We start from the raw sequence: 22,588 nt of genomic DNA, 5'->3' as shown, positions 1-22,588 counted from the left end.
TTTAGCTCCCACTTATAAGTGAGAACATAAGGTATTTTGGTTTCCTGTGTTAGTTTGCTAAAGATAATGGCCTCCAGCTCCATCTGTATCCCTGCAAAGGACATGATCTCATTCTTTTTTTATGGCAGACTAGTATTCCATGGTGTATATATATCACATTTTCTTCATCCAGTCTATCACTGATGGGTATTTAGGTTGATTCCATGTCTGTCGCCCAGATTGGAGTGCAGTGGCGTGATCTCGGCTCACTGCAACCTCCGCCTCCTGGGTTCAAGCGATTCTCCTGCCTCAGCCTCCCAAGTAGCTGGGACTACAGGCACCTGCCACCACGCCTGGATAATTTTTATATTTTTAGTAGAGATGGGGTTTTACCATATTGGCCAGGCTGGTCTCAAATTCCTGACCTTGTGATCTGCCCGCCTTGGCCCCTCCAAAGTACTGGGATTACAGGTGTGAGCCACTGCACCTGGCCAATTCCATGTCTTTTCTATTGTGAATAGTGCTGCAGTGAACATAGGTGTGCATGTGTCTTTATAATAGAATGATTTATATTCCTTTGGGCATACACCCAGTAATGAGATTGCTGGGTCAAATGGTATTTTGTCTTTATACACCTGATATGTTTTCATGAGATATCAGGTTCATCCTGGCCTTAGCCATTAGAAATTCCAGGTTATGGGATGTAGCCACCTTGAAGTGGCCCCAGGATGGGGAATCCATGCAGTCCAAAGTAGCAGGTCAATTACCAAATGTATGACCAAAAATTATGAATGTCTCCCCCTAACTGGGAGAGGCACAGCAAATTAAGAGGAGAGATTAATGAGACAATTAGTATATATGTTCTGAGAAACAGCTCGTAGTTGGCCAAGAGTTTAGGATTAGTCCCTCAGGAACTTACAGTTGAGAAAAGCATTTAGCTAATCACGTATTTTTTGTAAAAATGTTTACTGCCAAGATAACTTAGGGTTAAGTGTGCAATTGCTCTAATTTGCATAAGCTTGAATTTGGTGGTAAATGAAACATTTACTATAACTGGCATATTGATTTAATACATATTTATTTGCTTTTGAGAAGCAGAACATGCTTTGAGGAGAAGATTATGTGCTCTCTTGCTGCAATGCATTACTATTAGAAACACAGCCCAGGAAATAGCTGCCACCTCAGGGCCATGGCCGAGGTGGGTAGTGGGAGCAGACGGCAGGACCAGCTCCTTGGGGCTGGTATCTTAGCCTGGGGTTTCACTCTCTGCTGTCAACACCTTTAAATTCTTAATAATTTTGAAACAAGGGCTTGCATTATCATTTGAGGCCCACAAGCTATGTGCCGGTCCTGGCGTGCAGGGGTCTGCATCAGAGTGAGCTCTGGGTTAGATGTTAGCTGAGGTCTCCTCCTACATTGAAGGGACAGAGGGAATGGTTCTGCAGGGAGCTTAAGAGGAAAGGTTTAAAGGCTCCCAAAGGTAGAGGGGCAGGTTGTGGAGGGCTTGGTCCACTGGCCCAACTGGAGGTTTAGGCAGAGGCCACCAGCAGTCTTGATGAAACAACTCCAAGCCCCAGGACTTCTTGGTTGACATCACTCTTACTGAGCTCCACCAGCTAACAGAGACCTTGTCCTATTTATGCCCTATGAGTGCTGGTCAGTCACTCTCAGGGAAGGCCCACTGGCTGCCTGGGCCATGCCGTCCATCTCCACTCAGGGATTCTTGGGGCATCCGAGTTTTCAGAGGTGAGCCAGGCTGATCATGGAGATTCCTGAACTGCCTGTCTTCTGGGTCTCCCACTCTTGGGTCATAGTTGGGACTTGGGTGGGGAATACCTGCTGCTCTCAGTTCTCCCTGTTGAGGAGGGTCAGACAACAGGGACAGTAGCCCTCTCACGTGAGTGTACGTGGTGCTCAGGGAGAATTCACCACCCAGGCAGAGCTGACCTTCCAGGCCTGGGGAGGCTATGTGCTTGGGAATGGCAGAGTCGCACATGGACAATCATTGAGTGAGTCCACGGGGACCAAGCTCTGCCTACTTGAGGGTTAGACCAGGCTTGCATTTTTTTTTAAGAGGTAGGGTCTTGCAATGTTGCCCAGGCTGTAGGCTTGGACTCCTAGGCTCAAGCAATCCTCCTGCTTCAGCCTTCTGAGTACTTCCAGTTTTTATTAGGAAACAGAGGATGAGCATCCGAGGACATCCCCGCCTCGGTACAGGAGCCCTCAGGCTTCCCTGTCTGTCCCTCCCTGTCTGTCGCTCTGGGCTGTCACCCCTGTGACTGTGGACATCTTGAGGTCGGGGACTTCATCTTCCTTGTCTTTGTGTCCCAGGCCAGTTACATTCTGCTTAAGGGAAGGAGGAACAGTGAGAAATGCTGAAAAGTAGAAGCCGGGGCCTCAGGGGAGGAGGGGGAAAGTAGTACCTGTTAGGACCATTAGAGATGGGGCCTGGGAGGAAGGGAAGGGGCCCTGGGATTCTTGGGGCTGCTTTCTCAGGGGTGAAGTCAGGTCCTTCTGCCATCTTGTTAGGGGTGGATGGTGTTGGGAGATGGCACTGTGGTGGCCACAGGAATGGCCAGAATAATTATGTGGGGCAAAGTGCAAAGACTCAACAGGGCAGGGAAGTGAGAATGTGACTTGAGGCTTGTATTTCTGAGGCTCTCAGCCGTTAGTCACTCAACAAGGACTGCTGAGTGCCCGCTGAATGCACAACACCAACAAACAACTATGAAAAATCACCCAGGTAAAGTAAGCAATGCCTTTGGTCTTCTAGCTGCCCTTGGTATGGTGGGTGATGACAGTCATACACCCACATCTCAGTGTGTAAAGGAGCCCCTGAGCCTCTGGTGTCCTGCACCCCCTTGAAATGTTTATCAAAACCACGCACACCCTTCCTTTCTGTCTTCTTGGAGGGAGAGAAAGGCTGGAATCTGTTCTATTGAATTGTCCAGTTTGAAAAGATCCAGGACCCTGCCCCACATGACCTGACTCCCCTGTTCCTGCCTCCCTGTCACTGGTTCCTGGTTCTGCGGCTGGCTGTGGGTGACTGAGCTCTGAGCAGGGCTGGGAGGGACAGTGTGAGATCCCCCATCTGTTCGCTTGTCTGCTTTCCTCTGTCAGTGGTTCCCCATGATAGAAAACTCCACATCCATTGTATTAGCTCCTGTGGCTGCTATAAACACAGTACCACAAACTTAGTGGCCTCAAACAACACCATTGTATTCTCTTACCATCTGAGGTCTTCAGGGCCTTGTTCCTAATGGAGGCTCTAGGGGAAAATCTGTTTCCTTGTCTTTTCCAGTTTCTAGAGGTCGCTTACATTCCTTGGCTTGTGGCCCCTTCTGTCATCTTCACAGCCGGCAGTGTGGCATCTTCTCTCCTCTCTTCTCTCCTGTCTCCCGCTCACAAGGGCCTTGTGATTACTCAAGCCCACCTGGATGATCCAGGATAATTTCCCATCTCAAGATCCTTACCTTAATCATGCCCACAGAATTCCTTCCTAGTGCATGTAAGGTAACAGATCCACAGGTCCCAGGGATCAGGATGTGGACATCATTAGTGGGGGGTGGAGGGCATTATTCTATCTACCCCATCCATCCTGGCCAGCTACTATAGTACCACACATCAGCAATTAGAGTTTCATTTTTCTTTCTCTCTTTCCCTCCCTCATTTCCTCCCTTCCTCCCTCTTGTAAAATTTAGATTTCAGTTTTTTGAATAGGTAATACATTCTCACGATTCAAAAATAAAAATAACATAGCACTGGGGCGAGAGGCTGTGGCACCTGGGTTTCTGCAGTTAGTGCTTTCCTGGGCCATGTGCCATGGCCGGGACACTTGGGGCTCCCTCAGCTCCAGAGGGAGGGAGGAGACCCTCCTTGCCCCATCCCCATCCCCATAGCGTCTGGCCAGGCCACTCTGCTTTCTCCCCAGCCTCTATCTCCCTACCTGGCCAGCCCGTGGCCCGGCCCTCTCCATCATTCCCCTTCTGTCCCCAAAAGCAAGCAAACAAAACAACAAAACCCCTAACAACTCAATAGAAAGGTTTCCATGAAGAAAGCCTGCTCCTATCCCTGTTCTCATCCACCATGCTTCCCTGTCGTCTACATGGAGACCAGTCTAGGGAAACTCCTGTCCTTTCTCATGCAAAGTTAGCATGCTGTCTGTATTATTCTATGCCTCTTCTCTTTTCTTACTTGCTATGGCCTGAAGTTTTGCCCTATCAGCACACAGAGTATCCTCATTCGTGTGTTTCTCTTACAATCAGCTAGAATTGCACTGTGAGGTTGTGCCACAGTTCATTCAATTGGGGTTTTCTACAGATGAGAATTTGGTTGTTTCCAGACTTTCGCTGTTACAAACAATGCTGCAATGAATCACTTTGTACATATGTCGTTCCTGTGTTTACAGGTGGATCTTGGGGATAAACCCCCTGAGGTTGGGCCAGTGTGCCAATGGATAAAGGCATGGTGATCCTGCTAGATCTCCCTGTAGCATCTTCTCTATGGTTGTGCCATTTTGCAAGCCTGTCACTGACACTGGGAAATTCCCTTGCAGCCTCCCCAAGAGAAAGTTGTCACTCTCAGATTTTTTTTTTTTTTTTTTTGAGACAGGGTCTCACTGTGTCTGTGTTGCCCAGGCTGGAGTGCAGTGGCGTGATCTCGGCTTCTCAGCTCAAGAGATCTTCCTATCTAACCCCCTCTGCCCCAGGACTACAGGCGTATGCTGCCCTGCCTGGCTAATTTTTTTTGTATTTTTTAGGAGAGATGGGGTTTAGCGTGTTGCTCAGGCTGGTCTTGAACTCCTGGACTCAAGTGATCCTCCCATCCTCCCGTCTCAGCCTCCCAAAGTGCTGGGATTACCAGCGTGAGCCACCGTGCCTGGCCAGTCTCAGATTTTAAAAAAACAATCTGATAGGTGCAGGATTTCAGCGAGCTTCCTTTTTGTTAGTAATGGTGGCTTTTCTGGACTGCAGTAGACCAGTGTGAATAAAGTACATGCCATGTGTGTGCATGTCCGTGTGAGTGCGTGCACGTCTGTGTGTGTGCACGTCTGTGTGTGTGTGCATGTCTGTGTGTGTGTGCACGTCTGTGTGTGTGCACGTCTGTTCGTGTGTTTCCTACACACATGGCCCTGTGCCTCCCCGCAAGAAGCAGCACACAGAGCGAGGCTCTGAGGGTTTATTGTCTGCCCCAGTGAGGCTCCTGGGCTTCCTGGGAGGAACTGGGGGAGGAACTGGGGGCTGGTCACACAGGTCTATAGGTCCCATTGTAGCTAAAAGGGGGAGGCATCGAGCAGTCCCTGTCCTCAGGGATCCAGCGCTGGACGTAGTTGGGGCCGTTGTCCCGAGGCCACACGATCACAGTGTCTCTGGATGCCAGGGAGGGGTCCTCTGGGAAGAAGTTGAATGGCCGGAGCAGGAAGCCCACGGAGTTCCCAGGTGTGGCTGTGTTGGGAATGTCCTCTGAGTGGGGGATGTGCAGGAAGCCCACCGTCACCCAGGCCACCAGGTCCTGCAGGAGACAGGGTGGGCTTCAGTGGGCAGGGCTGAGTACTGACCACTGGAGGCCACTCTAGCCTTTGGTCATTTTCAGTTCTGCCTGGAAACTTGCTGAATTCCTCTCCAGCCCCTTTTTAAAGAGATGAGCAGCTCTGTTGTGACCTCTGAACTTGCCGTCCACACAGCAAGGCACAGCTCCTGCGACTGGGGACAGATCTGGGCAAAGGGTGGTTGGGACTCCCTGATGGTGATGAGGATGGTCCTGGGCTGAGCTGGAAGGAGGCAGGGCCAGCACCGGGCAGGGCTGGGGACAGGGCAGTACCTCATTTTCAATGTTCTCGTTGTTGTGAAGAAACTGCTCAAAGACCACGGGCGGGTGCCAGGGGTCGTTCTGGTGGTAGATGCTGCTGCTGCACAGCTCCGACTCCCGGTACTTGGTCACTGCCAGGGGGTACCTGCCAGGCACAGGCGAAGCAGCTTGGCTCAGGGCCCTGGGCTGGCCCCCCTCAGTCCTGCCCAGGGAACAGCCTCAGGGTCAGAATAGAGGAAGATGATTGCCTTCCCCAAGATGACAGATCATCTGTCCTGGGAGTCAGCAGGACGGGCTGCTGTTAACCGGGTTCAGGTGACCCACAGGAGTCCTCCCCGCCCCCCTCCCCAAATGCACAGAGACACAGGCCCAGAACAGCAGGCAACCCTTGCACAACACAGGTGTGAGCTGCATGGGTCCTCTTTCTCTCTCTTTCCTTCCTTCTTTTCTTTTCTTTTTCTTTTTTTTTGATGGAGTTTTGCTCTGTCACCCAGGCTGGAGTGCAGTGATGCGATCTTGGCTCACTGCAACCTCTGCCTCCCAGGTTCAAGTGATTCTCCTGCCTCAGCCTCCCGAGTAGCTGGGATTACAGGCGCCCACGACCACACCCGGCTAACTTTTGTATCTTTAGTAGAGACAGGGTTTCGCTGTGTTGGCCAGGCTGGTCTCGAACTCCTGACCTCAGGTGATCTGCCCACCTTGGCCTCCCAAAGTGCTGGGATTACAGGCGTGAGCTCCTGCGCCCAGCACACAAGTCCACTTTCATTTGGAGTTTCTTCCGCCTCTGCCACCGTGAGACAGCAAGACCAGCCCCTCCTCCTCCTCTTCCTCAGCCCACTTAAAGTGAAGGAGACGAGGATAAAGACCTTTGGGATGAGCCACTCCCACTTAATGGATTGTAGATATATTTTCTTTTCCTTAGGATTTTTTTTTTTTTTTTTTTGAGAACTAGTCTTGCTCTGTTGCCCAGACTGGAGTGCAGTGGTGTGATCTCGGCTCACTGCAAGCTCCGCCTCCCGGGTTCACGCCATTCTCCTGCCTCAGCCTCCCAAGTAGCTGGGACTACAGGTGCCTGCCACCATGCCCAGCTAATTTTTTGTGTTTTTAGTAGAGATGAGGTTTCACCGTGTTAGCCAGGATGGTCTTGATCTCCTGACCTCGTGATCTGTCTGCCTCAGCTTCCCAAAGTGCTGGGATTACAGGCGTGAGCCACCGTGCCCGGCCAGGATTTTATTAATAACATTTTCTTTTCTCTAGCTTACTTTATTGTAAGAACACAGTATCTGACACACAGAACCTACAAAATATGTGTTCACGGAATGTTTCTGTTAGTGGTAAGGCTTCCGGTTAACAGTAGGCTATTCGTAGTTACGTTGTGGGGGAGTCATAGTTACACTTGGCTTCTTTACTGCTTTGGGGGGTTGGCACCCCTACCCCCCATATTGTTCAGGGTCAATTGTACACACAGATATACACATACGTATATGTGTATATCCACATAGACTAGGAACCCCATAGACACAAACACAGACAGACACAGACACACACACTGAGGGAAGCCACTGACCCTCCCCCAGGCCCCCTGGGTCTTCCTCACCTTGCCCAGGTGATGGCCTGCTCCTCCTGCCAGCCTGGGGGCAGCACCTGGTCGGCCATGGAGTGGATCTGCAGGCGGTACGTGCGCTTGTGGCCCCAGGGGTTCTCCTGGGGGCTGGTAAAGAGCAGGTACTTAGGCAGCTTCCTTTTGAAGCGGAAGGCCGCCTGGCGCTCCCAGGAGTACTGCGTCTGCTCCAGAGTTGGCTGGACCACGCGGTGTCTTGGGCTCCAGGGGTTGGTGATGTTTTCTAGCTTCATCTGCAGTGTCTGGAAGCTGTTCTTGGTGCCTGGAGGTATGCAGGGAGAAGGAGAACGAGAATCAAGCTGCCAGAACTGAAACCTCCTCATTCTACCCCAGGATCTCCATCCTCCACCACATCCAACAGCCAACTGTCTTGAATAACCGGGATGTTGGGGGATGCCCTGGGCGGCTGTGGTGATTCCATTACCACTCTGGGAAGTTCCTCTCAAGAGCTGTGCTCATGCCCATCTGCTGTGGCTGCAATCCTAGAGCAGGGGCACCCATTTTTCTCCAGGCATGGGAGGCTCTGTCCAGAGAGGTGACTGGGGCTGAGGGGTAGGAGCCGCCCGTGTGGTCCTGGTGGCCTTGTTGGGTCTGGCAGCATTAGTTATTCTACCCATGCCATTCTTTTATGGTGATATCATCCAGGAGACACCCTGAATATTCCCAGACAATACTACACTCCATCTCAAAGCGCTAGACAGTGACATTTCTTACCCTCATAGGCACCGTCCCCTCCCTTGCCCCATGCACAGCCCCAGGGTCAGGACAGGGTCCACACTGTTGCATCCAGGGCAACCCTCGGCACTGTTCGCTTTCACCATTTTTCAGGGACACACAAATTTCTAGCTTTAGGTTTTACAGAAGCAGGCTTGGCAAATGCTCCTAACTTTCCACCACCAGGGAGTTATAGTGCCGTCTCCTGGGAGTTTAAGTTATTGGCTGGATGCAGATGTTTGAACGGGAGAGTCTCGCTTTGAGTCCTACCTGCCACATCCAGGTCTACGCGGTAGTGCACCAAGTGAGTGTGTATGTTGCCAATCAGGTGGGTGTGCAGGCGAGTGCCGTGGCGCAGCCCCTCGGGGGTGTAGAAGGTGGCGTGGACGTAGCCAGTGGCATGCATCTTGGCCTCCATCACCCCGTTGGGGTAGAAGATAAAGTCCCAAATGTAATCATAATTGTAGACAGTTGAAGTTGTCCGCAGCACCAGCACCTGGCCCTTCAGCCCCGCATAGAAGTTGAAGCCACCTTTAAAGTTGGAATTAAAGTGCCGCCGAAGGGGCACCCCTGTGGGCATTTCAAAGAGGCAGAGGGCTCGGGGATAATGGACCGGGTCATCGGCATCATAGTAGTGGAAAGTGTCCAGGAAGGTGGCGGTCTCCGGGCAGTCGATGCCGGGGGCTAACTCATGAGTGACGCTGCCCAGGCCCCAGCCGACATCGAGGTACTTGGTCTGCATGCCTGCAGGTGTGTGTCCTCCATACAGCGCCACTGCCTCTTGCACGCTGACCTCATAGGCAATGCGCTCTCCGCCGAAGTGCACGTTCAGGACCTGCAGCCCGGAGGAGGAGCGCAGCCGGAAGGCAAAGCTCCAGCCGCCGTAGAGCACAGCGTTGCCCTCCAGCCTGAAGCGAGGGCCGTGGGGCTGGACCAAGCGGGGGCCGCTCACATGGATGGGGCTGGGGAAGTCCCCGCGGGGCTTGTGGGAGGAGAAGAGGGGCGGCTCCTCTGTGCTGTCATGCCCCTTGCCCCCAGGCAGCGGGTCCTCCAGGACCACCACGTCCACCTCTCCATCTGCATACTTCCGAGCCAGTTCCTCTGGGCTCCCATAGAACTTCCCGTTGTACCACACCTGCTCCACGGCCCAGTGCCCAGCATCTGTGCTCCCATGATCCACGAGGAGCTCCAGCCCAGTGGGGTGCAGAAAGTAGCCTTCTACATAGCGCTGTATGATAAGCCAACTGCGGCGCTGGCCAGAAGCCACACCCCGGGGGGCCACATCGGTGAAGGCCAGGCATCTGTCATGGCAGTCTTGGAATGAGAAGCCTGTGGTATTGAGGAAGAACTGATGCAGGGGCTTGGTGGCTTCCTGCAGGGTGTGGTAGAGGAGGGCATACTCTGCTGTGGAGATGGGCCTCGATGCCCAGGAGGACTGGTACCCAGGCCTGGGGGACAGTGCTCGCATGTAGCAGGGCCCTGGCAGGGGCCCCACAGCAAACTCGGTGACATTGGGATGCTCCTGGTCACCAAAGAAGATGACGGCACGGGCTTCCCGCACAGGATGCCTTTCACCTTTATCCAGAAACCTCAGCACATGGTACTTCTTGGGCAGCAGCATCTCGATGAGAAACACGGTGTTCTTGGCCATGGTGGTGGTACTGGAGGGCTGCAGCCTCAGCTCCTTCTTGGACCAGAGGAAGCTGTGCACTGCCTTCAGCTCTTGGTTGCTTAGGTCTGAAAACACCCCTGCCTTCCTGGGCAGAGTCCCCGGGGAGGGCTCCGCCATGGCCGTCTGCAGCATCAGGATGGCAGCCACGGCCCAGCCCAGGGCCGGCATCTCTCGCTCCACGGCTCTGGAATGCAATAGAGGAGATGAACTTAGTTGTCTTATGGGCAGAGATGGGCTTCCCTCAGGTTAGGGCCATGGAATTTTCCCATGGACTGAGCTTCCTCCCCTTGCCCTGCCCCAAGCTGGAGGCTGTCCTGGGGCAGCTGGGGCCCCATGCATAGTCCCCAGCGCCGTCGGGCCGCTGCCTGTGCATCCATCCATTTATTTCTGCCCTCTCCTCACTCCTCTGTAAATGTCCTTCAGTCCTGCAGCCTTCCTTACTCAGGGGAACACCCTTGTTTTTGTGTATTATCTCAGCCAGGGGTGCCGTGAGTCACAGAGGCCAGGCTGGGCCCCTGCACATGCCCCCAGGTGCTTCTTGTGTCCTGGAGAAGAAGACACCTGTATTAACAGCAAAACTACATTTCTGACACAACGAAATACCTTTTAGGTAGACAGATTTTGAAATTTAGTGTAGAAATTCAAAGGTAGGCTCTAGAGTCAGGCTGTCTGAGTCAAGTCCCAGTGACTCATGCCACTAGGACTTGCTGTGTGGCCTTGGGCACGCTGCTTAAACTCTCTGGGCCTTCATGTTCTTAGTTTTAAAATGAAAATAATGACAACAGTGCTTAGCTCCTAGGGTTGTGGAGAGAAATCAATTAAACAGTAAATATAAAGTGTTTGTAACAATGTCTGCCATATGGGAAATACATGAGAAATGTTAGCTGCTCTTCTTGTTAAATACAGGCTATCGACACCAGCCCATTTAAAGTTTTACGCAATGTAGAGTGATTCAGGTGTGACTAGGCTGCAGACTGATGGCTTTGGGGGTGAGGTAGAGGTGCCCAGTCCTGCCTAGCCTTCTTTGTGCCCCATTCACCTCTCTTGTCCACCCAAGGCTACTAGGAGGGGACCTCAGGGAGGGTTTCATCTTAGGAAGATGCCTTTTCCTTTCTCAGGGAGGGTGGGTCAGGGTCTTCACCTCATAACCCCATTCCCCAAGCAGCTGTAAAATCCTGTGCTTGTAGCTGTGAGCCTCCTGCAGGGCTGGGAGACGTGGTGGCCACAGCTCTGTCTTCCCATGTGCTGTGTGCGGAGTCTCTGGGAGACTGTTACTCTTGCCTGTTGCGCTGTTGCTACAGATGCTGGCTGGAGCTGTCTCCCAGCCTTAGTTTCTCCAGACCCTAACTTGTCCTCCTAGGTGATGTGGGCCTCCCTGGAAGGCTGCCGTCACCGTGAAATTTCCCTACAGAAGCACTGCCTTTGCCACCTTGCACCCCCTTCCTCAAGGCTCTGGGTTGAGCTGGGAGCCCCGCTTCAGGATTCCTCCCTGTCTCAGCTGTGCTTTTCACTTCCTGCAAGCAGTGCCTGAGGCACAGACACTTGATTTATAAGGTGGATGCATGAGTGGGTTGGACTCTGAGAGATCCTTGTTTTCATATTTTCATAGGTAGTTGCCTTTTGCTCCCTAAATCAGAAGCCCTGGGGGTAAACCTGGAGAAAACTCGTTCTCCTGTGCAGACAGACAGGTAGCAGAGAGGGTTAATCCACTCCTGTCTCAGACCTCTGCCTGGCCCAGCCTCTTCCCAGGGGGCCCAGGCTGCCTGCAAGGGAGGCCCCGAGGATTTCACCTGGAAAGTCGGCGGCACAGGGTGTGAGGTGTAACTGAGGTGCAGCAGCTCCACTTTGGGTGTATCGTGGAGTGACCCACTGAGGAAACCTGACCATCATGAGCGCTTTTCATTTCTTGCTTTTGTTTTTGGAAAATGCATTTACACATCACATTTCCGAAGCACAAGCGTTGGGAACACAACCCATGTGTTAACTAGAGGCCCTGTTTTCCCGTGGCTTTTTTCCTCCAGAGAAGCTCAGCTGCACATTGTCCCTTCCCACCCGACTCTGGGCCAGTGTCACATCCTTTGCCACCTTTTGAGGTCAGCTGAAACCCCGCACTGCCGAGGAATGCTGTTTTTGGCCCCAACTAACATACTTCTCCACTAGTCCCCTTAGCACTTTGTATTTAATTTGTACACGATGGGCAGTTCTTGATTCATAGACAAATGAAAGGTGTTGGCTGGGCCTGTTCCATCACCCGAGGGCTCTCTAGCCCTGGAGGCCACGGTAAAGGCTGATCTGAGATGTCCTTCTCTCCCTTTCCCATGCCCCTCTCCCCGAGGGCTCTCCCCTTGCCCTCGTTTTGCTCCATGGTCATGGCCTCTCATGGGGATGTCCCTCTAGTTGCCTTGTCTTGCCCTCTGGTGCTGGCAGAAGACCCTGGAACCCACATGATCTTGGGCTCTCGGAGGCCCTGCTTACCTGGAGGGAGCAGGTGAGGCAGGGGCTGCAGGCGGAACCCAGAGCCAGCAGGAAGGATATGAGGTGAGTTCTTGTGTTCTCCTATTAAATATTGGCCAGGCCTCTTTTTTTTCTTCTTTAAATAGACTATTTTTTCTTTTTCCTGAGACAGTCTTGCTCTGTAGCCCAGGCTGGAGTGCAGTGATGCGATCTTGGCTCACTGCTACCTCTGCCTCCCAGGTTCAAGCAATTCTCCTGCCTCAGCCTCTGGAATAGTTGGGATTACAGGTGTGCACCACCATGCCCGGCTAATTTTTTGTTTTTAGTAGAGATGGTGTTTCACCGTGTTGGTCAGGCTGGTCTTGAATTCCTGACCTCAAGTGGTCCACCTGCCTCAGCCTCCCAAAGTGCTGGGATTACAGGCATGAGCCACCAGGCCTGGCCCCAAATAGACTTCTTATTAGACTTAAATAAATAAATAAATAAATATATATATATATATATATATATATATATATATATAGTCAGGATCTCACTATGTTGCCCAGGCTGGTCTTGAACTCCTGGGCTCAAGTGATCCTCCTGCGTTGGCCTCCCAAAGTGCTGGGATTATAGTAGACTTTTTTTTTAATAGACTTTTAAAAATAGACTTTAATAGATTTCTTAATAGACTTTATAAAGTCTGTTAAAAGTCTTTAAAAAGTCTATTAAAAGTCTTTTAACAAACTTTATAAAGTCTATTAAAGTCTTTTAAATAGGAGTCTTTTAAAGAGGAATTTTAGGTTCATAGCAAAATTGAGCGAAAGGTACTGAGAGTTTCTGTATACTCACAGCCCCTACACACGCAGCCTCCCCACTATCAATATCCACACCAGAGCCATACATTTGTGGCTGATGAACCTGCACATCACTCTCACCCAGAGCCCACAGTTTACATCAGGACTCACTCTTGCTGCTGCATATTCTATGGGTTGGACAAACGGACAATGACATGGATCCACCATTAGAATATCACACAGAATAGTTCCACCTCCCCCAAAATCTTCTGTGCTCCACCTCTTCCTCCGAAACCCTAGCAATCACTGCTCTTTTTATTGTCTCCATAGTTTTGCCTTTTCCAGAACGTCCTGTATTTGGAATCTTACAGTCTGCAGCCTTTTCAGATTGGCTTCTTTTGCTTGGCAGTGTGCATTTAGGGTACCTCCATGTCCTTTCACGGCTGGGTCTCCTTTTTTACAACCTCTTATACCCACGTTTCTTTTTGCTTTTCCAGGAAGGAGAAAGATGTGGAAGAGACCTTTGCTTTCCCCAGGACAAACCTCTGTCCCCATGTGCAGTGGCAGTGGGGGTGGTGGCTGGTGAGACCTCCAGGCAGGAACAGGAAGCAAGCCCTCTCCCTGCTCACCCTCCTCTCTGAGCTTTCCCCACTCCACCCTGGCCGGCTGTTGCCTGCCACCAAGCACCCGGGCACCTTCTGTGATGTGCTGGGCTCCCGCCCTCACTTCCTGGCCCTCCTCCCTCTGTGTCCTGTTTCTTCTGCCCCTCACTCTGTGCCCTCCTTCCACTGCTTTTCTGTCCTCCAGGTCAGCCCCTTCTTGACTCTCCCGAATACCCATCAGAACGCACCTGTGTGCTCTGCTCCCAGTTCGCTCTGCTTCCAGCCTTTGCCCTTAAGCTGATCTCTGACTCCTTCTTGAAGTCAATCAGACCCCGCCCTGCAGGGAGGGACAAGGTGAGGCCTGAGCTGGCCTAGGAGGGGCCTATGGCTTGGGAGGTGCCTCTGTGGGCAGCTACAGTGGCGAGAGTGGGTTTGAGGAAGCTGGCTGTGCAGCACACTTGTCCTGAGTCTGTTTCCAGACAAGTGCCGCCTTCCACAAGAATTTGCCTTGGCTTCTCTGTGACGAGCCATGCAATGCCACGATCTGTTAATTTAGGTGGCATATTTTAGAGGCAGAGATAAGGACAAGGGGCCATTTCCTAGCCGGTAGTCTTACCTGAAGCTGACAGATGGACCAGGGCAGGGGCTGATAGAGGCTGGCACCCACAGCAAAACAGAGAATTCAACCGCTCCTAGAACAAGACACCAGAGGCAGAACCGTTTGGGAGGAGCAGCCACTCAAGACGAGTTGCAAACTTTGGCGGCTTTTTAACGATCTTTGAGACCCTGACCAGATTCAGAAAGGAGGAAGGACTTGGCTGGGAGAAAGCTGGCCAGGGTAGCTAAGGCTATGGCACAGAGCGGAGAGGGGAGAGGACACTGGGGCAGGTAGTGCCCATGCAGTGGGCGGACAGTGCTAACGCCCACTTAGTCAGGTTGAGAAGGGCGAACGTGGTGACCGGGGTAACTCCTAGTTGGAAAGGAAAGAATAGAGTCAGGAAAAGTTCGTGGCTCAGGAGTGCCAAGGGGTCATCATCCCCCATTACCAAGGTTTGGTTGCTCAGGGATTGCACACCGCTTTGTGGTTATAGGGGTTTTGTATTTCTCATCATCATCCTTCCTGCTGCCCGCAATGCAAGCCATTTCAGTGTGCACTGGCAGCTAGATGAAGGAAGGTGAACACACTTAGTCAACTTGAAGCTTGCTTGCAATTCCAGAAGGTCTTTGGTGTTTCTGAGGAAGGGGATTTGCCTTCCATGTTAAAATGATGATTGATACAAAGACAATGAATGCTAACGTCTTTCACCCTCAGTGTTCAAGAGGACTGTGAGTTATGTATTCTCAGTTATGGGCTCACCAACTCCGCAGAGAATTGGGGGGATTTGGATTAGAAGAGAGTTTCAGGAACAACCTGATTTTGAGGACTACAATCTGTTTCCATTCCACAAAGGAAACTGCGACAAAGTTAATGGAGTGAGGATGGATCGAGAAAAGAGACTTGCAAAGATTTAAAGGGAAAGGGGCCACATGCACATGATGGAGTTAGACCCTTTCACACACGGAAACGGACTCGAAAGGGACCAAAGACATACATGTAAGAGCTAAAACTGTAAAACTCTTAAAAAGAAAACATAGGAGTAAATCTGCTTGACTTTACATCTAATTCTTGGATGTGACCTCAAAGCACAAATAACCAAAGAAAAAAAAATAGATAAATTGACATCATCAGTATTAAAAGACTTTTATGCTTCAAAGGACACCCACAGGAAAATGAAAAGACAAAGCATAGAATGGGAGAAAATATTCACAGATTATATATCTGATAAGAAAATTATATCTAGAATGTAAGAAGAACTCTTCCAATTCCATAATAAGAGGCAAATAATCCAATTAAAAATGAGCCAAAGATCTGAATAGATATTCCCCTCACGAAGATACACAAATGGCCAATATGCACATGGAAAGCTGTTCAATGTCATTAGTCATCAGGGGATGCAAATCAAAACCACCAGGAGATACCACTTTATATCCACTAGGATGGCTAGAATTCAAAAGCAAGGTAATAACAGGTGGGGCCAGGAGGCAGAGAAACTGGAAGCCTCACAGGCAGTTCATGGTGAGATGACGCAGCCACTTCGGAAAACTGTCTGGCTGTTCCTCAAATGACTTAACGTTGTTATCATATAACCCAGCAATCCCACTCCTGGGTATATGCTCAAGAGAAAGGAAAGCCTATGTCCATGGGGAAACCTGTACCAGAGTGTTTACTGCAGTGTTATTCACAATAGCCAAACAGTGGAGACGACTCATATGTCTCTGCATTGATAAATGAGTCAACAAAATGTGGTCTATCCACTCAATGGAACATCATTCAGTCATAAAAAGGAAGGAATCACTGTTACATGACACAATGTGGATGAACCTTAAAACCACTACGGCAAATGAAAGAAGCCAGTCACAAAAGACCACATTATTCCATTTATATGAAACGTGTGGGGTAGGTAAATCTCTCAAGCAGATGAGAAGCACATTAGTGGTTGCTTAGGGCTGGGGTGCGATGGAGGGATGGGGTGAGAGCTAATGCTTATGGGGTTTCTTTTTGAGGTGATTAAAAAGTTCTAAAATTGAAGGTGATGGCTGCATGTACCTGTGAATGTACTAAAATGCATTGAATTATACACTTTAAATGGGTGAATTGTAAGGTGTGTCTCAATAAAGCTGTTTTCAAAAAGTGACAGGACTAATATCTAGAATACACAAGGAGCTCTTGCAAATCGGTCAGAAAGAGGCAGCAGTCCCCATGGAAACCTGGTAAAGAATCCCAAGGGTAACTTGCAGAAGAGGCACCCCAAAGGGCTAAAGAGCACATGGAAAGATGCTCAAATGTAGTGGTTACTAGAAAAATGCAAAGCATTCAACAACGAGATATAATTTTTCATGGGAAAGCTGGATGATGCCAAGTGTTGACAGAGATGTGGGGAAACGGGGACCTTATGTGTGGTTGTGGGAAGGGGTTATTGATGGCACAGCCATTCTGGAGGGCACTTTGCAGGGTGTGGGCAAATGAGAGAATTGCATGCTCTCCAGACTCAGGAACTCTGTCTCTTGGAATATATGTCAAAGAGGTTCTCACCCAGGCCTAGAGGTGGGATGCAGACACAAGTGGCTGTGAGGCTGGGGAGCTGGAGGCCATCGGGGTGCCACCCCCAGGAGAGTGGTCACTGCACACCATGGGGTGTTGTGCAGTTGGCGGGTGCAAAGGCATGGATGTCCACACAGCCACTCCTGAGAAGGGATCTCAGGATCATGGAAGACGCAGGATGAGTGATAGCACGATGCCATTACACAACAGGAAACACGTACACACCAAGCCACCCGCTTTCAAGAGTGGATACACATTAGAATGGATGTGAGGGCGGGGGTGGGAGTGGGAATACATACATACACACGTGAGAAAGACAAGAGAGAGGACTTGTATGGGCCAGTGATGACGACATCCATGCACTGAGGTAGAATTAATTCAGTTCTGCAATGGACGTCCATAAATAAATAAAAGAAAGGCCTGGGAGACAGACTGAGTGACTACAGGTCCTCACACCAGGGTAGATGTGGCTGAGGACAGGAACCACCACAGGTCCCGCACCTGGAGGATGCAGTGAGGGCAGGGAGGAACACTGCGTGTAGGCAGGGAGCTGAAGCACACCAGAAAGAATTGCATTTTTTATGTAACGGGGCCCATAACATGTACATAGAAGGATTAATATTACAAGGTGGCACAGAGTAAGTGCAACACATTGATGCCCAAGGGCCTGTCCTGCAAGGGCTTGGAAGGAGATTCCCCTCAAGACTGCAAGCCCCCAAGTCCTGGGACTCTATCCCCTCTGCAGTAGCCTCCATGGCTGCTGTCACAGAGGACCACACACAGGGGCTTAAAGTAACAGAAATGGGTTGTCTCACAGTTCTGGAGGCCTAAAGTGTGAAATCAAGGTGTAGGCAGGGCCATGCTCCCTTTGGAGGCTCAAGAAGAGGGTCCTTCCTCTCCTCTTCCAGCTTCTGTGTTGCCAGCAATCCTTGGTGTCCCTCAGTGCCTTGGCTTGTGGCCATGTCACTCCAATCTCTGTCCTCACATGGCGTCCTCCTTGTCTCAGTACCTCTATTTTCAAGAACACCAGTGATTGTATTGAGGGCCTACCCTACTCCAGTATGACATCATCCTAACTAATTCATCTGCAACGACCCTATTTCCAAATAAGACCATATTCTGAGGTTCCAGGGAGGACATGAATTTTTAGGGGGATGCTATGCAACCCAGCACACCTTCTTTACCTGCCTCATTGCAGAGAGCATGGTCCTTGGCCAGTGAGTGAATTCCAAGCCCTGTGCCCTGGGGGGCTGCTGCCCCGAGGATCCACAAGGTAGAGCCTGTGTGGGGTTTTGCGATACACGAGGGACTTAGGAGGAAGAGGACACACTGGGCAGGGGCGGGGGTGGGAGTGGGAGTGTGAGTGGGGGTAGGAGCAGAGTCCTGAACTGAGATGTGGTGTGTTTCCCAACATGGGAAAAGGTCAGGGCTGATGCGGGGAGTGGGGTGCGGTTTGTGTCGCTGTGCTGAGGAAGGGCAGGTGGTGTGTCTGGAAGGAGGAGGTAGAGTGAGGAACCTCCCTATGCGCTTCTAGAGAAGTGTGGGGGTGAAGAGGGGCTTGTGGGAATCCTATAGAGACAGAGGAGATAGAGAAGCCCTCTAGAGAGGCACTGGGAAAGCTGAGGCGAACAGAATCCTTGTGCAGAAAAGCTGGTAAGTCTGTTGTTATATACATATATATATTTGTAGAGACGGGGTCATGCTGTGTTGCCCACGCTGGTCTTGAACTCCTGGCCTCAAGTGATCCTCCTGCCTTGGCCTCCCAGAGTGCCGGGATTACAGGCATGAGTGACCATGTCTGGCCAAGGCCATTGTTTCTGCTCATGTTTGTGTGCACTGTGGCTGGGGAACTTGAGATGTCACACTTGAAATTTGGGGTCTGTTGCCTTGCCACCTCTCTTCCTGCTCCCTGGCTGGGGCTGGCCCCTCCATACTGAAGGTGACCTTGGTTTCTGAGGTGTGGTTCCTCGCTTGTGGAATTAATGATTGCTGACAGTTAGAGATAGCACTTGGGCAAAGACCGTATCCTGTCAGTTGTTCGCTGCTTGCCTTTCTTAAGGAGGTCCAGGCCTAAGGAGGGGCAGCGCTATATACAAAGGTGGAGCTAGGAAGCCAGAGGTCACAGCTCACCATGTCCTGTGGCTAAATCTTGATATTTTGCTTTCAGAAAGTCACAACCTGTCAGAGCTAATTTGAGAGGATCTAGAGAGTGGGATTGTTTCCACGAAACCACAGAGAAGAAACAGAGCAACCCGCGCCTGCACCAGGACCTACTGGGGGTACACCAGGGAAGCTCATTCGATTAGATCTTTATGTGAATGAAGCCAACATCATAGCTTTTGTCCCTGATTAGGGAAGGTGGGTTTGTAAAAAAGAAAATTCCACCATTTTCTGAGGCAGGGCCATTGGTCATAAGGGGCCCTGGTGAGGTCCTGATGGCTTGGGCAGCCCCACCCAGAGAGGGGAGAACGTTCATCTCCAGGTGCTAGCCCTGCTTCTGCCACTGGCTGGTGGGCTTATACTTGACAGTCCTTAATTCATTCAACAAATGTTTATGGAGCACTCATTCTGCACCAGGGAGACACAGCAACGAACAAACAAAACCAAAGCCTCTATGGGGCTCATATTTTAGTGAAGACTATCCAACAGCGAAGCTTGTGAGCCTTCACAGCAGACCTCCTCACTGGGACAGCTGATGACAGGGGCTGGCCCTGGGCTGGCATCTGGGAACTTAACTTTCAGGATCCTGCCCCGCTGTGCCGGCCTGCTGACTGTTTTTACAGACAATGTGATTAGTGAACACCTGCTTTCCTATTGGGAATCTGGAATCTTGTTAGTTGTGGTGGGCAGAGAGTGTGCCTACGTGACCAGCCCCAACCTCTGCCCCAGCTCTGAGCTTCTACTTCCCTGGGGAGATGCAGGGCGCAGGGTATGCTCTGTGCAGCCTTCATGGGAGGGAGAGCTCAGCGAGTCTGTGCCCTGACCCCTCCAGACCCCGCTGTGTCCTTGCTGTGTGTTGGCCGTGGGTATAACTGTCTGCTTAGTCTGGTGAGTCCTAGTGAAGCTCTGACAGCAGAGGTGCCATGAGGTGTCACGGGTGTTCAGAGAGGTGTCCTGCAGGCGTTGGCGGCAAGTGGTGACCCAGTGTGTTCCAGTGGGGCACATGCTCAGGGGAAAACAGAGCAGGGGCATGTGGTGGGGGCAGGGCCTGACCTTTCAGAAAGGGGACTCCTCTTCTCCTCAATGTGGTGAAGGAGTGGGCCACAAGGATGCCTGGTGGCGGGGGCATTTCAGGCTGAAGGAGCAAGGAATGCAAAGTCCCTGATGCAGAGTGAGGGGACTGCTGTCGCCAGGGGCAAGTGGTGGCAGGTGGATTCAGAGAGTGACCAAACGCCCTCGCCTCCAAGGCTGTCACTGGGATTTTACTCTGAGCCACTTGGGAAGCCTCTGTCAGGTTCGTGCAGAGGCCAAAACTGACCTGCCTCTAGCAAGTGCTATCTGGAGGTGCTGGGGGAGACAGAATGCAAAAGAGTGAAGGCTGCAATGATGGCAGGAGCAGAGAGCAGGCCGGGGGGTGGTTGCAATAGTCTTGGGGGGCAAGGCTGGTTGCCAGGTCAGGGTTGCAGGGGTGGAAGTGATGAGAAGTGGCCACATTCTGGATGTAGCTGGAAGGGAGGCTGGGGGAGATTTGCTGAGGGCTGGGATATGAGACTCCAGAGAGAAGAGCCAGGTGACCCCAAGTTCGGGCAGAGGTTCTGCTCTGCTGGGGCAGCCAGGAGCTGAGTCAGGATGCTTCAGTGTGTGAGCATGGCTGGCTGCTGGCTGAGCCCACTTCTGGACTTTGATGCTGGATCCCAAGGCACATGAGGGGCAAGGGTGGAGGGAGCCCCAAGGAGACCTTTGTGAGGAGTCAGAGACCAGGGCTGGGTCCTCCAGGCGCTCTTTGTATCTTCACTGACCATGCCTGGCAGTGCTGGCCAGCTGACAGCTTCCCCGTCAAATCCCACATTCCTCCCTCCAGCTGCAGCTGTGTCTGGCAGCCGGGGCTGGGCAGTAGACACAGCAGAATTCTTCCTTCCTCCTGGCTCTCTTTAGTAGCTACCTCACGAAATGTGCATTGGATTCTTAAAGAAGAAAAAAATCAAGAGGCCAGAAAATCAGGAAGCAGAAGTTAAAATATGTTGCTGATCTTTGAAATAAAGAATTTGTGTTGGTAGACATGTGACCTTGTGTGGTGCAGGGATGTATTTGTGTTAAACCATTTTGGTGACTATGACATTCCAGGTGCATATTGGAGGTAGCATGTAGGACTTCAGAAATCACCAGAACAGTCACTGCCTCTGTGCAGCCCTTTGCTGAGCACAATTTTGGAAGGAAATATAGCAGCATGGTTACTGGTACAGGATATAGAGCCAGAAGGCCTGAGTTTGAATCCAGGTTCTACTTCTTTTAGTTGGATGTTATGTGGGAAAAGCGGTTAACTTTTCCTTTTAGAGACGGTGATTTTCTCTGGTGGTATGATTTGATTTCTTGCTTTTTAATTTTTGTGCATCTGTTGTATGTTTTTTGATTTGAGATTACCACAGGGCTTGCAAATACTCTTACAATCTATTAAGTTGATAACAACTTAACACTACTTGCATAAACAAGCAAACTAAAAAGCAAAAAGAACACTAATAAAGACTTTCTCTTTATCTTTGTTCCCCTACTTTTTGTTCTTTTTTTTTTTTGTTTGAGACAGCATCTCACTCTGTATCTAGGCTGAAGTGAGGTGCATGGCGTGATCTCAGCTCACTGCCACCTCCGCCTCTGGGGCTCAAGCGATCCTCCCACTTCAGCCCCCAAAGTAGCCGGGACCACAGATGTGAGCCACCATGCCAGTTAATTTTTGTATATTTTGTAGAGATGGGGTTTCGCCATGTCATCCAGGCTGGTCTTGAATTCCTGAGCTCAAGCAATCTGCCTACCTCTGGCCTCCCAAAGTGCTTGGATTACAGGGGTGCCCTGTGGGATTATAGGCAGAAGCCACCATGTGAGGCCTTCCCCCACTTTTTAACTCTTGATGTTTCCATTTATATCTTACCGTACTGTCTATGTTTTGAAAAGTTGTTATGATTTTTGATTGGTTCATATTTTGGTCTTTCTACTTAAAAGTAGTTTACACACCACAGTTACAGTGTTGTATTCTGTGTTTTTCTGTGTACTTACTAATACCCGTGAGTTTTGTATCTTTAGATAATTTCTTATTGCTCATTAACATCCTTTTCTTTCTGATTGAAGTACTCCCTTTAGCATTTTTTTGTAGGACAGGTCTGGTGTTGATGAAATTCCTCAGCTTTTGTTTGTCTGGGAAAGTATTTCTCCTTCATGTTTGAAGGATATTTTCACCAGATATATAATTCTAGAGTAAAAGTTTTTTCCTTCAGCACCTTAAATATGTCATGCCACTATCTCCTGGCTTGTAAGATTTCCACTAAAAAGTCTGCTGCCAAATGTATTGGACCTCCATTGTATGTTACTTGTTTTTTTTTTTTTTTTCTCTTGCTGCTTTTAGGATCATTTTTAAAAAAAATCCTTGCCCTTTGGGAGTGTGATTATTAAGTGCCTTGAAGTGGTCTTCTTTGGGTTCAATCTGCTTGGTGTTCTATAACCTTCTTGTACTCAGATCTTGATACTTTTCTCTAGTTTTGGGAAGTTCTCTGTTACTATCCCTTTGAATAAACTGTCTACCCCATCTCTTTCTCAACCTCCTCTTTAAGGCCAACAACTCTTAGATCTGCCCTTTTGAGGCTATTTTCTAGATCCTGTAGGTGTGCTTCA

General features: G+C 50.4%; 1 protein-coding gene and 1 long non-coding RNA gene across 8 annotated transcripts in view, besides 2 other annotated features; one reads left to right on the top strand and one right to left on the bottom strand.

Moving 5' to 3' along the window:
• Positions 1-22,588, top strand: part of LOC105375567 (uncharacterized) — a 58,167-nt gene that overhangs the window by 10,698 nt on the left and 24,881 nt on the right. The window lies entirely within an intron of this gene.
• AOC1 (amine oxidase copper containing 1) lies at positions 4,929-14,313 on the bottom strand. Of its 6 annotated transcripts, none has more exons than XM_017011945.2 (5): positions 14,243-14,313; positions 8,393-9,978; positions 7,385-7,670; positions 5,800-5,989; positions 4,929-5,490 (listed from the first exon to the last, which is right to left on the bottom strand). In XM_017011945.2, exons 2-5 carry the CDS (start codon positions 9,960-9,962, stop codon positions 5,224-5,226), a joined length of 2,313 nt encoding a protein of 770 aa, XP_016867434.1. In that variant the 5' UTR covers positions 9,963-9,978; positions 14,243-14,313; the 3' UTR covers positions 4,929-5,223. The 6 variants fall into 6 exon arrangements, with proteins under 6 accessions (XP_016867434.1, XP_047276084.1, NP_001259001.1 ...); XM_047420128.1 differs by having other exon boundaries at positions 5,800-5,932; NM_001272072.2 differs by lacking the exon at positions 14,243-14,313 and adding an exon at positions 13,875-13,916.
• Positions 8,755-9,598: an enhancer, noted in NCBI's record as "H3K4me1 hESC enhancer chr7:150553923-150554766 (GRCh37/hg19 assembly coordinates)". NCBI's record gives its function as "activates a minimal SCP1, AML or CMV promoter by ChIP-STARR-seq in primed H9 embryonic stem cells {active_cell/tissue: H9 hESC(primed)}" and the evidence as "EXISTENCE:reporter gene assay evidence [ECO:0000049][PMID:30033119]".
• Positions 13,763-14,334: an enhancer, noted in NCBI's record as "H3K4me1 hESC enhancer chr7:150549187-150549758 (GRCh37/hg19 assembly coordinates)". NCBI's record gives its function as "activates a minimal SCP1, AML or CMV promoter by ChIP-STARR-seq in primed H9 embryonic stem cells {active_cell/tissue: H9 hESC(primed)}" and the evidence as "EXISTENCE:reporter gene assay evidence [ECO:0000049][PMID:30033119]".

Source organism: Homo sapiens, chromosome 7 (assembly GCF_000001405.40).
Source record: "Homo sapiens chromosome 7, GRCh38.p14 Primary Assembly".
Taxonomy (NCBI): domain Eukaryota; kingdom Metazoa; phylum Chordata; class Mammalia; order Primates; family Hominidae; genus Homo; species Homo sapiens.
The sequence above is the reverse complement of the archived record's forward strand: the minus strand, read 5'-3'. Positions and strand labels throughout refer to the sequence as shown.